At 48.5% G+C, this 14,944-nt stretch overlaps 1 protein-coding gene across 5 annotated transcripts in view, besides 3 other annotated features; it reads left to right on the plus strand.

Annotated features, from left to right (window-relative positions):
- Positions 1-14,944, plus strand: part of CMIP (c-Maf inducing protein) — a 266,955-nt gene that overhangs the window by 70,688 nt on the left and 181,323 nt on the right. The window contains exon 1 of one of the 5 annotated variants that reach the window (XM_005256179.6): positions 2,371-2,489. The exons of the other annotated variants lie outside the window; for them this stretch is intronic. Coding sequence (XP_005256236.5) covers positions 2,406-2,489 — 84 coding nt within the window. The 5' untranslated portion in view covers positions 2,371-2,405. Of the gene's footprint in view, positions 1-2,370; positions 2,490-14,944 lie in introns of those variants that run through there. 5 annotated transcript variants of the gene reach the window in all.
- Positions 419-1,068: an enhancer, noted in NCBI's record as "H3K27ac-H3K4me1 hESC enhancer chr16:81549519-81550168 (GRCh37/hg19 assembly coordinates)". NCBI's record gives its function as "activates a minimal SCP1, AML or CMV promoter by ChIP-STARR-seq in naive H9 embryonic stem cells {active_cell/tissue: H9 hESC(naive)}" and the evidence as "EXISTENCE:reporter gene assay evidence [ECO:0000049][PMID:30033119]".
- Positions 2,702-3,399: an enhancer, noted in NCBI's record as "H3K27ac hESC enhancer chr16:81551802-81552499 (GRCh37/hg19 assembly coordinates)". NCBI's record gives its function as "activates a minimal SCP1, AML or CMV promoter by ChIP-STARR-seq in primed H9 embryonic stem cells {active_cell/tissue: H9 hESC(primed)}" and the evidence as "EXISTENCE:reporter gene assay evidence [ECO:0000049][PMID:30033119]".
- Positions 3,911-4,529: an enhancer, noted in NCBI's record as "H3K27ac-H3K4me1 hESC enhancer chr16:81553011-81553629 (GRCh37/hg19 assembly coordinates)". NCBI's record gives its function as "activates a minimal SCP1, AML or CMV promoter by ChIP-STARR-seq in primed H9 embryonic stem cells {active_cell/tissue: H9 hESC(primed)}" and the evidence as "EXISTENCE:reporter gene assay evidence [ECO:0000049][PMID:30033119]".

The raw sequence follows: 14,944 nt of genomic DNA on the forward strand, positions 1-14,944 counted from the left end.
CTATTGAGTGCTTTGGGAGCACAGGGCCAGGGCTGGGGATAATGGGAGGCGTGTTTCGTCAGCCCAAGAGCATCGTTAAGTGGCCATCAGGAAATCACAGGGCTGGAGGGGCTCTCAAATGAAGCATCACCGGCTTTATTCTTTTAGCAAATGTGTATCCTGCACCAGGCGCTATTCTAAGGACCGGAGGTTGGTAGCTGTGCCAGTCTGGGCCTGTTTGCCCTTGGGGTCCGTTCCTTGTCCTTGCTCTGATCTGCTGGGTGTGGTCGGGAGCCAATCTCTGTAGGTTCTTGTGTCCCAGGCTCCCGTGTCACTGGATTCAACCCGTGGGAGGAGCTGCTAGGAGGTTGGAAGGCAAGAGGAATGGAGAAGCCAGTGTTTCTACCTCCCTCAGTCTCCAGAGGCCACTCTGATGGCACCTGCAACTCCTCCGTGGCTCCAGCTCCCACTGGACGGACCCTATGGCCTGTCCTCTGTCGGCGCTTCCAGCCCCTGGGCCTCAGTCCTGCCACCTCCCCTGTGTCTCTCTGGCCTGCGGGTGGGGGCAGCTTCCTGCTGTTGCTAATCTCTGGGTTGCTCCATTGCCCCCGTTTGGGTTCTGGGATCTCCTTCCTTGTGTACCCAGTGCCCTGCGTTGGAGTCTCTCAGTTCCAGTGCCCAAGTGGCTTCCATCTCCTGGTTGGACTCTGACTGATCTAGCAATGAAGGTGACATGGCCCCAGCTTTGGGGTGGTTTCTAGTCCAGTCACTTGACTTCAGCAGCCCATTTTCTCACTCTTGATTCCTCCGGGGATTTTCTAAAATACACATGGAATCGCGCTTCTCTCCCGTTTTAAACGTTCTTCTAGCTCCCCCGGGTCCCCTCGTCCACCCGAGTAGGACTGCAATCATATTGAGCTGCTTTCTTTTCCTAAAGGAGCTCTACTTCGGTTCAGCCCTTGGTTTCTGCAGATACGTGCCGTGTTCCAGGCTTGGAAGCCCTCCCCACTCCCTTCCCTGGACACTCTCCCTGGACACTCTCATGCTCTTGCTCTTGGCCAGCCAGCTCTGCCTTCAGGACTCAGCTCATCGCCGTCAGAGGAAGCCTTCCCTGCCCTCCCAGCCTGGATGCATCTCGTCAGTGCGCGGGCACTTGTGCGTCACTGCTGGGGATTGGCTTGCTCTGGGCTGATAGCTTTAGTTGTCTGCAGCCAAACTGTGGGCTCCCTGGGGGCTGGGACCAGGGCTGGCTAGTGTACCACTGTGTCTGGGATGCCTGGCAATAGATATCGAAGCATCTAGGCATCTGTCCTCAGGAAATTCTCTCATGTTTGCATAGACACATACCCAAGTATGTGTCAGGTAGCATAGTGAAAAACCAGATGGCCTCCAAGGTCTTCAGTGAAAAACCACACGGCCTTCAAGGTCATCGGTGAAAAACCAGACGGCCTCCAAGGTCATCAGTGAAAAACCAGATGGCCTCCAAGGTCTTCAGTGAAAAACCAGAAGGCCTCCAAGGTCATCAGTGAAACCCAGACGGCCTCCAAGGTCATCAGTGAAAAATCAGGCAGGTTTCAAGGTCATCACTGAAAAGCCAGACAGCCTTCAAGGTCATCAGTGGAAAACCAGACGGCCTCCAAGGTCTTCAGCGAAAAACCAGACGGCCTCCAAGGTCATCGGTGAAACCCAGACGGCCTCCAAGGTCATCAGTGAAAAATCAGACAGCTTTCAAGGTCATCAGTGAAAAGCCAGACAGCCTCCAAGGTCGTCAGTGAAAAACCAGACGGCCTCCAAGGTCATCAGTGAAAAATCAGACAGCTTCCAAGGTCATCAGTGAAAGAATAGGTCAGTATGTCTTAGTACATTGATTCTGTGGAATATGATGCAGCAATGAAAAAGAATGAAGTGAATCTAAAATGCATGACTGTGGAAAGATATCCAAGACATGTTATTGTCTAAGACTCATCACACAAATGCATAACACAAAGGTATTTTTTAATATGTATATGATTGCATAGAAAAATGAGACCAAGGAAACACCCTCCTCTGGCAAGAGAGTGGGCTTGAATTCAGGTAAAGGGGATTTTGTTGCTTTTCACACTTCTCATTTCTATATTATTCAAATTGTAATGACAGCCCTGTATTCACATATTAGCTGTGAAATTGCAAAGTATGTAATAGGCCATTATGAGAAAGAAAAAGCCCCACATTTTAGCCAGTGTGTCCTTGGAGTCTCCCCCGACAATGCCAGGGAAGTGGGAAACATTTTTTCCTGAAGAAATGTGGAGCAGAGGCGATTCTCTGGGTGTGTTTAGGAAATGATCCCATCCTTCGGGAATGCCGTTTTTGGAGTTCGACGTTCTCTGGAGGCTTGGGAGATGCAGCCAGGGCGCAGAGTTGGCAGTGGCTGCAGACATCTCTTTTCAATGTGGACCTCCTGCCACAGCCACGAGATTCAAGGATTTTCTAGGAAAATGAACGCCAGTGGATGTGTGGAATTTTTTCACAAAGTAAGTGACGGGGGTCCCTTTGCACTTCTCATGCCCCCATGGTTAATTGTGTGTGTGTGCTGGAAGTGGAGGAGGGCGGTGGGTGGTGCAGCTGTTTGAGGACTCACCCTTCTTCGGAAGGCTGGGGTCAATGGGGTGCTGTTTCCCCGAGTCAGTTGAAACGCCCATGGCTAAAGCCTGTGGATCATCTCACCCCTGCATTTCCTATTTGGCTCTCACTTTGGTCGAAAGACAGCGGAGCGCAGAAAATCTGTCATAATTGTGAAAGTAGGACCTGTCATCCTCTAAGGGTCATTCTTCCTGGCCCACCGGGCTTGTTGACACCTGGAGTTGGGTAGCAGAGAGAGGGATGTCGGGACCGTGAATTAACAGTGGCCACCACTTCATGGTGAATGGCATCCAGACAACACCTTCACCTGTCTGGGGAAGAACATAGGCTAGGCCTGGGAGAGGCTGTCTACTGAAGTCCCTGCAGGGGTCCAGGCTGGACTATACCCCTCCAGCTTGGCGAGAGAGCCAAGGACCAGCAAGGGAAGTGATGTACGCTGAGAACCGTCCGGGCGCCCAGCACGGGTCAGGGCCTTTGGCTTACAGGCTGTGTTTATTTCTGAGCAGCCCTATGCAGTTGGCATTAGCATCCTACCGTTCCCACTAGCCAGCTGGGACTCAAACCGATTAAGTAACTGTCTACCTGCTTCCTGTGTTCTGTGTCTGTTGGTGTTGATTAAAAAATATAAAAGGCCAGGTTCATGCCTGTAATCCCAGCACTTTGGGTGGCCGAGGCAGGAAGATCACTTGAGCCCAGGAGTTCAAGACCAGCCTGGGGCAACATAGCGAGACCTGCATCTCTATTTTTTTTTTTTTTTTTTTGAGACAGAGTCTCACTCTGTTGCCCAGGCTGGAGTGCAGTGGTGCGATCTCAACTGACTGCAACCTCCGCCTCCCAGGTTCAAGCAATTATCTGCCTCAGCCTCCTGAGTAGCTGGGATTACAGGCGCCCGCGCCACGCCTGGCTAATTTTTGTATTTTTATTAGAGACGGGGTTTCACCGTGTTGGCCAGGCTGGTCTTGTACTCCTGACCTTGTGATCCACCTGCCTTGGCCTCCCAAATTGCTGGGATTCCAGGCATGAGCCACTGTACCCGGCCTCAAAATATTTTTTAACAGAAGTAGCAGGGTGTGGTGATGCCTGTAGTTGCAGCTACTCAGGAGGCTGAGGTGGGAGGATCACTTGAGACTGGGAGGTTGAGGCTACAGTGAGCTGTGATCGCGCTACTGCACTCCAGCCTGGATGACAGAGTGAGACCCTGTCTCAAAGCAAACACACACACAAAAAGTAAAATCCCTGTGATTATATTTTTGCTAGTACTTGCTAAGCTGTAGCTGCTTCAATTTGAGAGCAGAGCCTGGGCTGCCCAAAGAAAGTCCTGACCCCTTAACTCAGAACTCCGTCAGCAGAGGAATTGGGTTCTCTGGGCTGTTCTCTACTCAGGCACACCCTTGCTGGGCCTCCCATGCCCCAGGGCAGTCCAGGAAATAGTGTGTGCATGGTGGAGGGGAAGGACCTTGACTGAGACCAGACAGGGTTGGAATCTTGGGTCTCCTACTTCCTGTCTCTGTGACCTTGGCCAACCATTTAACCTCACTTGAGGAAATTGAGCCTCAGTTTCCTCATCTGTAAAGTGGGGTTGTTATGACGATAAGACAGGATAAAACACATGAAACAGCCAGCATTTTACCACTTTTAACCTACAGAACGGCAGTTTGACATGGCTCACTCAAGTATGTCCATCATGGAGATGCCTCAGTGAGGTGCTGGGACATGGTAGACTCAGTAATGTTCCCTTCCTCTCCTCCAGCCCTCAGTGTTGAAGGCTTTGTCATCCTGAATGGCGACGAATGGGAAGTGAGCTCTGAAACTGAAACCACCATTTGGGGACAAAAGCTGGCATTGTAGTTGTGGCTCTCTGGGAAGGTCTCATCTGTCTTCTCGGGGCTGTTCCCTAAAGCTGTCATTACGCTGGCTTTGCGGCAGGGGTGCAGCAGCAGTGGGTGGTGATGCGGCTGCTCTTGAGTGGCCTGGTGGGGTCATTTCAGTTTCAAGGCCTTGGAGAGTGTGCTTAGCAGGTGGGGCCTAAGATTTGCATTTCAGCTGCCCAGGTAGTCAAGAAGCGGTATAGCAAAGCGGCTGTGAGCCCATTCTCTGGAGTCCTGCTGGCTGGGTTTGAACCCCAGGTCTGCCTCTTGCCTGCTGGTGCACTCAGCCAAGTTACTTCATCTGTCTGCCTCGATTTCTTCATCTCTAGTGGTTTCTACCTCAGAGACTCTGGGAGCCACAAACAGGATCCCACTTCTTGAACAATGCCTAGAACAAATAAGCAATTTCTATGCTGTAGAGAGTGTTTGCTTACTTAAAATAATGCTTATTAAAAATTGGCGGGTGCAGTGGCTCATACCTTTAATCCCAGCACTTTGGGAAGCCAAGGTAGGAGGATCATTTGAGCCCAGGAGTTCAAGACCAGCTTGGGCAAGATAGTGAGACCCCATCTCTCAGAGAGAGAGAGAGGGAGGGAGGGAGGAAGGGGGAGAGAGAGAGAGAGAGAGAGAGAGAGAGAGAGAAGATAGAAAGAAAGAAAAAGAAAGAAAATCAAGATGAGCTGTGATTAATAAGTAGGGCCTGATTATTGGAACTTGGCATTGGATATAATTAAGTTGATCAGAATTTCTCATGACTGGAGAGTCAGACAGTCTGCCCATTGTGCTGTGTGACCTTGGGCAAATAACTTAACTTCTCTGAGCCTCATTCCTGTGTAAAATGGGTGTAGGAAGTGAGGAATTAGGTTTATAAGAAGGGTTGTGAGGAGGAAGTCAGAGGCTGCTTCTGGGAGGGCCTAATCCTGGTGCCTGGGTCTCCCGTAGGAGCTGCTGTCGTGAGTGTGTGGCTAAATTGTGGGGAGCTCCCTGGGTTTCGCATCCTCTTTAAATTAGCGGTGGCATGTGTCAGAAAAAGGACCCCCCGCCCCCTGGGCTCTTCACTGATGCATTTTGCCCTGGAGCTTTTTGCAGCCTGGGAACAGGAATGTGCTTTATACAAGATTTAATTTTGGGATAAATTCTTGAGGAACAGGAGGAGGGCTTTTATACCAAAAAATGGATTGTTCTGGAAGGCTTTTCTTTGTCACTGCCCGGTCGCCGTGACTGTGGACCATGGGACCCTTTCAGCCCCGAGGCCTTTCGGCAAGCCTTCCTGAGTGGCCTCTGCATCATTGCTTGCTGAGCGGATGGTACTGCACGGTTGCCATGGTAGCAGCAGGATGTGGTTCCTATGGTGATGGTCGGCAGTGGCAGGAAGACAGCAGAGGTTTTAGTTATCTGGTGGCTTCGCATTTGCCACCCCCCCCCGAATAGCAAACACGAGCTGCCCCCGCTGTCGTTCTGCTCTGTAGAACCACCGGTGACCGCCAAGGTCGGCTGCCTCCCTGAAATGCCACTGCAGGTTCTTGGAAGGACTGGGTTGCAACAATAGCATTTCTGCTTCCAGAAGAGGAGGGGGCTGAGTGTCTCTAAGGGTGCGTCACCTGAGGGGAGGGTGCTTATATTCACACTCTGAACCTAGCAGGTCGAGTCTGTGCGGAGCTTCTTCAAAAAGCCCCTCCCTGGAGTGAATTTTCTTTTCCTTCTAAGTCTTGTGTATTTGTAGACAGATGTGGGATGATGAGCTAACAGGAGAAACCAATTGGCTTTTGAAGCTCCTATGATACCTTGTAGATTTCAAAATGGCCAGTTTAGGGGGTCAGTTGGGTTTTCAAACATAAGATACTTTTCTACAATTGGGAGTTGGCCGAGATTAGGGAAAGGAGAAAGGTATCCTGAGTGTTCCCTTGTCTTTTTGGTATCCTATATCTTACAGATAGAATTTCTCCAAGAAAGGCCAGTGTCTGATACAGTGAAATGCAGGGTACAGAATATTGTTTCCTTTTTATCCAGGAAGGCGAGAAGAAAAGCGTATAAGCAGGATTTCAGAGGTGCTGTTACAATTTAAGAGTAAATCTGATATTTAGGAGCCAAGTGCAGACGGATGAGGTTTCTGCTTGTCCATTCACACTTGATAAGGCTGCCACTGCCTAAGACAAGGGAAATGTCAGACATCTTTGCTTCTAGCTGGAATCCTATCAACCCAGTGTGGCAACACCGATTCGCCCACGATGATCAGGAGCTCCCATTGGCGATCGATGATGTCACTGGGTTTCCTGGAGTGTGATTGGTGGGTTGGGCCCTGTCATCAGAGCCCTAAGCCAGGTGGCCACACCTGGATTGACACAGGAGGGACACAGCTTCAGTGCTGCTCCATCCACTGAAGCACACCCAGAGCTCCCTGAGGGTCTATGCAGTGCCCAGTAGAGTTCTCCTTCTCACTTGAAGTAGCCAGAGGCCAGAGGGGTGTCTTCTGGCATAGCCATGGGGTGCCTGGGCCTGGATTTTTGTTAGAAGGGTGCCATTTAGTGAGCACTGCATACTGTGATAGACTTTTCTTCTTTTTGAATTTTGAAAAGTAAAAAGAATAAACACACAATTTAGCATACCCAATCAGTAGGACATGTGGCTTCACCACCTACTGATGTCAAGATGCCTTCCAGGTTGGTTAACAAATAAACAAGCAAACAGGAAGCAAAAGCCACAAAGATTAGTATCATAAAATCGCATTTCTACCGCCCCGACTAGAGCATTGTTAGTATGTTGTCCTCTTTGCTTTGCCTTTTTTTTAAGTGAAAGAAATAAAACATTACTGGAAAAGGTATAATTACTTGACATTCACCTCTAATTTACTACCCACCTCCAGGTACCCCCTTATTGTAAGTCCCTTGTGCATCTTCACATTTAAAATATTTTTACACACACACACACATAATCATAAACAATATATAACATTTCTTTGTATATGGTTTTTTTTTCTTTTTTTGAGACAGTGTCTCATTCTGTCACCCAGGCCGGAGTGCAGTGGTTTGATCACAGCTCACCGCAGCTTTGACCTCTGAGGCTCAAGTGATCCTCCCACCTCAGCCCCCCAAGTAGCTGGGACTACAGGCACGCATCACCACATCTGGCTAATTTTTTGGTAGAGACAGGACTTCGCTATGTTGCCCAGACTGGCCTCGAATTCCTGGGCTCAAGTGATCCTCCTGCCTTGGCCTCCCAAAGTGCTGGGATTCCAGGTGTGAGCTACCGCGCTTTGCTTTGTGTATGTTTTTAAAGTTCCCTTGCAGCTTGCCTTTTTCCACCCTATCCGACGATGCTCATGTGTTGGAGATCTCTCCGTTGATTCCTGAATATCTAGTTCATTTCTTTTGATTACTGTGGAGTCACTCCCTGTTTGCCATCTTGTTCCATCTGAGTGCGAGGCCTGAATGGGGGACAGACTCACCCCCTGTCACACAGAAGGACGTGGGGCCCACAGTCACACGGCCGCAAGGTGGGTCTGGTACCCTCCCAGCACATTTTGGTTGGACTCCAGAAGCAGGGCTTCCCTCACGATACCTCAAGCTTACCTGGGCCCCGGCCAAGCAACTGACTCATCCAGTCTGACAAATCCAAATTCTCGAGTCACTCAGCCCAACCGTGGTTGCCTCATTTAGATCCCAGCCAAACCCCCTTCCCGCGAAAAGCCATGGTGGCCTAGAACGAAGTCTGGAAAAGAACCAAGAGGACAGCATCTTTTGTCTGGAGAGCACCGTGCCTGTTCTCCAACCACCTCGTAGCCCCTGGTGGAGCCTCCCTCCTCCCCCAGGAAGAAGGTGAGCTGAGTCACCACCAGGTAACCCTGAACCTCGCTCAGACACAGCTTCCTTTAGCTAGGAGCCTGGATGTAACACCCAGCTCATCCCTTGGCTCCCTCCAAACGTCAAGGCGTCTTGAACTAAAAGCCAGCGCCTGCACACCGGCAGAACTTTGCAGCTCCTGGCTCCTGAGTTGTAGGTGTTTTTGCCAGGTGTGCCTGTACGTGTGTATGTGTGCCCATGGGTGGACAGTGTTTCTGTGCTCCTTGGAGTAGGCTTATTTTTCTGTCTCTTAAACTGGCTCCCTTGGCCTCTGCCTCTTTCACGGGTTCCATGCGGAACCCTCTGACCTGTGAGGTGCTAGGCTTGTCACAGCATCTATTAGGAGACCTGAAAGACAGGACCCTGTAATGCCACGATCCATTGCTTATAAAGGAAGCCAGTATTGGGGTCAGACAGAGCTGGATTCTCTCAATTGCTCAGCAAGTGTTTATTGAGCACCTCCTCTGTAGTGGGCTCTGGGGGTAACATGGCACATGAAACAGAGATGGTGTCTGTCCCACTGGAGCTTAGAGGGGCAGAGACTGTCTACAAGTGACAGAGAGATACAGAGAGAATTATAAGTCTGAGTTCTTCAGCCAGTCTGGCTCTGCTATGTCCTAGACAGGTGACCTTGGGTGAGTTAACTAAGTCATCTGTAACGTGTTAGCCACAACCTACTAAGCTCGTGGGGTTATCTGGAAGTCTTGGTGAGACAGTGTCTGCAAAATGCTTATCGCCAAGCCAGGCACGTCATCATTGCCCAAGGTATGGCAGCTGCAGCCATCACGGCCCTCATTTTGCAGATGCCGAAATTGAGGTCAGAGAGGTGAAGTAACTTGCCCACGGTGGCACAGCTCATTAGTGGGTTTGGCGGCACAGGCCCTGCTCAGAGCCACCCAGCGACTCAGCTGTCAGTCACAAGTGAGGCTGTTCCTATTCTTGACAGTAACTGCGCCTTCCCATGTTCTGCAGGGAGCATTTTTATTTCTTTTCTTTCTTTTTTTTTTTTTTGAGATGGAGTCTCATTCCTCTGCCCAGGCTGGAGTGCAGTGTTGCTATCTTGGCTCACTGCAACCTCCACCTCCCAGGTTCAAGTGATCCTCCTGCCTCAGCCTCCTCTTAGTAGCTAGGACTACAGGCACATGACATCATGCCTGGCTGATAATTGTATTTTTAGTAGAGATGGGGTTACACCATGTTGGACAGGCTGTTCTCAAACTCCTAACCTCAAGTGATCCGCCCACCTCGGCCTCCCAAAGTACTGGGATTACAGGCATGAGCCACCATGCCTGGCCCCTATTTTTATTTCTTTAAATTATTCATTTATTTTTTATTTTTATTTTATTTGTTTATTTTTTCTTGAGATGGAGTCTTGCTCAGCCACCCAGGCTGGAGTGCAGTGGCACAATCTCGGCTCCCCACAACCACCATCTCCCAGGTTGAAGCGATTCTCATGTCTCAGCCTCCCAAGTAGCTGGGGTTACAGGCACCCGCCATTATGCCTGGCTAATTTTTGTGTTTCAGTAGAGACAGGGTTTCACCATGTTGGCCAGGCTGGTCTTAAACTCCTGACCTCAGGTGATCCGTGCATCTCGGCCTCCCAAAGTGCTGGGATTACAAGCATGAGCCACTGCCTCTGGCCCCTATTTTTATTTCCTTAATTTTTTTTTTATTATGGTCAAATACATATAACGTAAGGTTTACCATTTTAAATCTTAAAAAACATTTTTTTTAAGAGACAGAGTATGGCTATGTTGCCCAGGAACTCCTGGGCTCAAATGGTTCTCCTCCGTCAGCCTCTCAAGTAGCTGGGAGTACAGATGTGTGCCACTGGCCTAGCCAATCATTTTTAAATGTTAAAGTTCGTTGAGTACATTCATATTGTCATGCGACCATCCACCATCATCCATCTCCAGAACACTGTCATCTTCTCAAACTGAAACTCCGTCCTCATTAAATGATAGCTCCACATTCTGCCTACTCCCGACCCCTGGCAATCACTTTTCTGCTTTCTGTGTGTATGCATTTGACTCCTCTAGGAACCTCGTATGAGTGGAATCAGAAGATTTGTCTTTTTGTGACTGGCTTATTTTACTTAGCGTAATGCTCTCAAGGTTCACCCATATTGTAGCATGTATCAGAATCCTTTTTTTTGTTTAAAGGTTGACTAATAATACGTGTGTGTGTGTGTGTGTGTGTGTGTGTGTCTGTGTGTGTGTGTGTGTTCGTCCATTCAGTTTGTCCGTTTGCATTTCAGTTGCTTCTGCGTTTTGGCTTTGAGAATAGTGCTGCTGTGAACATTGGTATATAAGTATCTTTTTGCATCCCTGCTTTCAGTTTGTTTGGGTCTATACCTAGGTGCAGAGAGCATTTTCTCGTCAGGAGTAAAACAAAAGGGACAAAAGAAAGCTCCTGACTTCCAGGAATTCTCAACCTTGGGTCCTTGGATAGAATTCAAGTGATCTGTGAACTTGGATGTGGCATTTTAAAAAAGACATCTTTATGGTCACCAACCTGTAACTGAAATTTAGCATTTGTTTCCATGACGGCTGTAGGCAGTACCAATCACAGTGGTGTTAGCAGTGCCTGTGACTTAGTCATCAATAGAAATCGCGGGTGTTTGCATATTTCATTCCTGTTGTTGTGGATATCTTGGAATATCATTACATTCATCAGTACCCCAAAGTTACAGTAGTTATCAGGCCCACAGCTAGGTCTTGTTATACGATGGATTAATAAAGAGGGGATCTGTTACTCCATTGGAAATTTTAAGGGATATTTTGATAGCTGTTTTTCATTATGATCAGCTTCCTTTCCTTTGCAGTTTCCTATTTATTTTATACTTTTAAGAAGATTACTCTAAGAAGGGGCCCAGAGGCTTCACCAGACTACCAAGGGGTCCAAGGCACAAAAAAGCTTAGGAAGCCCACTCTTGCCTTGCAGAGGTGCCCCCGGGAGGGGTCACAGTGAAGGCCCCAGCCCGCCAGAGGAGCAGGTTTGCGTTTGGTTTCTGGGCAGCTCTGTGGAAGGCAACCCAACTTCCTTTGGAAGGGCCCTGAGCCTCTCTCTACCCACTCCAATATAAGAAGAGAAATTTTGCTTTATAATGAGCAGGAATCTTCTCTCAGTTCCTTGGATGGCTTTGGACATGTTTTGAGTTTGTTTGGATTCCCAGGAGTGAGCACACAGGGCGTGAGCTTTGCAGTTTGGGGCCTGGTTTCTGAAGAAGTTGCAAACAGGGTGATGGTGCAGTTCAGACAACACGCGCGGGCCAGGCAGGCCTGGACCTGAAAGGAATGTGTTTTCTTGGTTTTTGTCTGCTACAGAATTTCTCAGCTCTCCAGCTCGTTGGCTCAAAGTGTGTCAGGAAAGGGGGTGCTGGGTAACAAGACGATGGTGGAGAGTGAGGTTTGCAGACACACCCTGGCTTGGCCGGGAGCCCACGGTGGGGGAGGTTGGCTGAGTGTGTAAGAGCCTTTGGGTTCACAGCCTGCATGCCAGAAATATCATTTATCGTCAGTAATAATGATAATGCCTGATGGACGGGTAAAGGAATAGCTAGATACCAGAAAAAAACACCAACAGGGACATGTTCATTGTAGAATCTAGGTGGTGGGTGTAAGGGTATTCATCCATTCTTTTCTTCTTCTTTCTTTTTATTGAAGTATTACTTACTTTCAAAAGTACACAACCAAATGAACAGCTCCATGAATTATCCCATCTCATGGACCTACCACCAGGCTATCAGTTGGATTTTGTTTCTACCATGGAAGCATCCTCAGACTTTTCCCAGAGACCACCCTTCATCCTCCTCCCCCGCGATAACTCTCCTGACCACAGTGTCTGTGTTTATTTAGTTTTTTTAGAAGCTTCAACTTTACAGAAAGCAAATCAATGCGTGTTCTTTTATGTCTGGCCTCTTTGGCTCCACATGTGTTTGTGAGCTTCATCTACATTCTGTTTAGAGCTGAAGGTTATTTATTTTTGTTGCTGGATCACATTTTATCCTAAAAATATCCCATTCTACTGACGGTGGGCATTCACGTTGTTGCCTTCTTAGGCTTTTATGAATAATACTGCTAGGAAGTCTCTTGCGTATGCCTTTTTGGGAATGTGTGCATGAAATTCTGTTGGCTTATAGTTAGGCATGAGTTGCCATTCGCTGGTATTGCATAGGTTCACCTTTTGTAGAGAAAACCAACCTGTTTTCCAAAGTGGTTGTACCAGTTTACATTCCCAGGAGCAGTATGGGTGATTTCTGGTTGCTTCATATCTATGCCAACTTGTTATTGTCAGTCTTTTAAATTTTAGCCATTTTGGTGGGTATATAACAGTATTCAACTTTTCTTTAAGTCTGAAATTTTTCATAATAAAATGTTGGAGAAAAATATCCTTCACATTCATGACAACTTCATAGAAAAATAGTATTTTTAAGGAGATGGTTGAAATTGGCGCTTGTCTGGTCTTGGAGTGAAGACTTTTTTTTTTCATTCTAAACAATGCCAAGGCTGGCCCTTCCTCCTATGACCCTGTGGCTCCCCAGTCCACCATTGGTCTCATGCTGAATGCTGGATACATTTTTAAAAGCTGGGTGTAGCCAGAGACAGGGGCCCGGAGTGAGGTTGGGAGTACCTTGAAGCTGTGCTCATGCATTGAATTGATATGACCAGAGGTGGAGCGTGGAGCTGGTTCCTGGCCTGGTAGAAGTTCTTACACTTTTTGCTGGTCCCAGAGAGATGTACTTTTGAGTCAGCCTGGGAAATTAAAATAGTTCATTGAGTTTTGGCTAATTCTGGTAACTATTCCTAGAATCCTCCTGGTCATTGGTTTGAGGTCACAGCTACCTGCTTGCTGGGGCTTCCCTCTCTGACTTAGCACAAATGATGCCCAAGTCTTGAGCTTCTTCCTCATGTTGTTAACTGCTCAGCTGAGTTATTTCAATGGCATGAAAGAAACATAGAATTAAGGTCATAGAGCATGGTCCTAATTCATGCCTGCTCGCCCTGCTTTACTGCCATCATCATCTATCTCCTTGCTTTCACTCAACAAATATTTGGTGAGCGCGATTTTTTTGTTAGGCACTCACCCATGCTCCCTCCCTTCCTTTCTCCTCTCCTTCAGTTTGTTTGCCTACCAGTCCATGCACCCACCCGTCCATCCACCCACCCATCCCTCCATCTATCCGCCCATCCCTTTATCCCTTCATCCATCACTTACTGATGGCTTTACCCATTGTAAATCAGGCCTTGGCTAGATACAGATGAATGAGCTGTGGTCCTTGCCTTTGAAGTATTCCCCCATACTGTGACAAATGATTAAATAGTTATTCATAATGCAGCATGACACGGATATAAGGGGGGAAGAAGAGAGAGGTCTCTAGGGCAGGTTGGGAGGATGAAGAAAAGCTTTCTGGAGGTCACAATGCTATTGCTGCATCTTGAGAATATCTTGGGATGGGCCCGTGAGGGAGGGTAAAGAGAGAGATTGGGGGCACATGGTTTCTCAGATGGTACATGATACAGAGGGTAGCCATGCTTGGGACACTCAGTGAGCCCCGAGTCACCGAGTGTGGGTGGGCAGAGTGTGAGGGGCTGGGTGACATAGATGGCTCTGGATCTGTCAGCAGTTTGGTTGGGGCTTGTTGGTCTTCGAGGAGATGGGCTGTGAAACTGTGGGGCAGTGAGATCTGTGTGGTGGACAGACTCATGGGCCCTCAAAGATGCCCATGTCCTACTCCCCAGAAATGGAATATGCTGCCTGCAGGATGAAGAGGATTCCGCAGAGGAGACTGGGTTGAGGAGCTTGGGATGGGGAGGTTACCCTGGATTATCCAGGGGGGCCAGTGTCATCACAGGGGTCCCTACCAGGGACAGAGGGAGGTGGGAGAGTCTGAGTCTGAGGAGGAGATGTGCGGAGGCAGAGAGCAGCCTTGCAATTCCCGGCTTTAAGATGGAGGAAGGAGCCACCAGCCAAGGAATGCAGGCAGCCTTGGAGAACGGGCAAGGATACTCCTTCTCCTCTGGAGGCTCCAGAAGGAGCCAGCCCTGCCCACACCTTGATTTTAGCCTTGTGAGGCCGTGTTGGGCTCTGACCTCAAGAACTGTAAGAGAAGAAGCCATTGCGTGTGTGGCCATTTGAGCAGCCATAGGAACCTTATACATGGGCAGGTGCAGGGACATCTGAAAACCTTTGTACGAGGGTCCGCATTAACAGTGAGAGGATAGGGTTTTTGGCTGGGGACAGTAAGACCATCATCACTGCGTGAAAACCTTCTCAAAGAGTCCATCTTTCAGTCAGGCCGCTATAAATTTATCTCTATAGATCATTCGTTGTTAAAATTAAGCCCAGGGGGAAAATCAGACTCATTCAGGATCAAGGAAAGTCACAGAATCTGATCCATTCCTACCAGGGTCCCACGTCTTATGAGGCTCCAGCCTTCTTACTAGAGGATTCTGATACTTTATTACCCCAGGCGAATGTGATTTGAGTAGAGTCCTGCTTTTGGGGGAAATAAAATCCCAGTAAAGGTGGATCCGGATCCCTCAGGGACCTAGGTGCAGTTCCTGTTCCTCCCGTCTCGCCTCTGTTGCGCTGCAAGGTGGGGTGTGTAGTGAGTATCACTGTAACCTGTACTTTTCT

The sequence above is a fragment of the Homo sapiens genome, chromosome 16 (genome assembly GCF_000001405.40).
Source record: "Homo sapiens chromosome 16, GRCh38.p14 Primary Assembly".
NCBI classification, from domain to species: domain Eukaryota; kingdom Metazoa; phylum Chordata; class Mammalia; order Primates; family Hominidae; genus Homo; species Homo sapiens.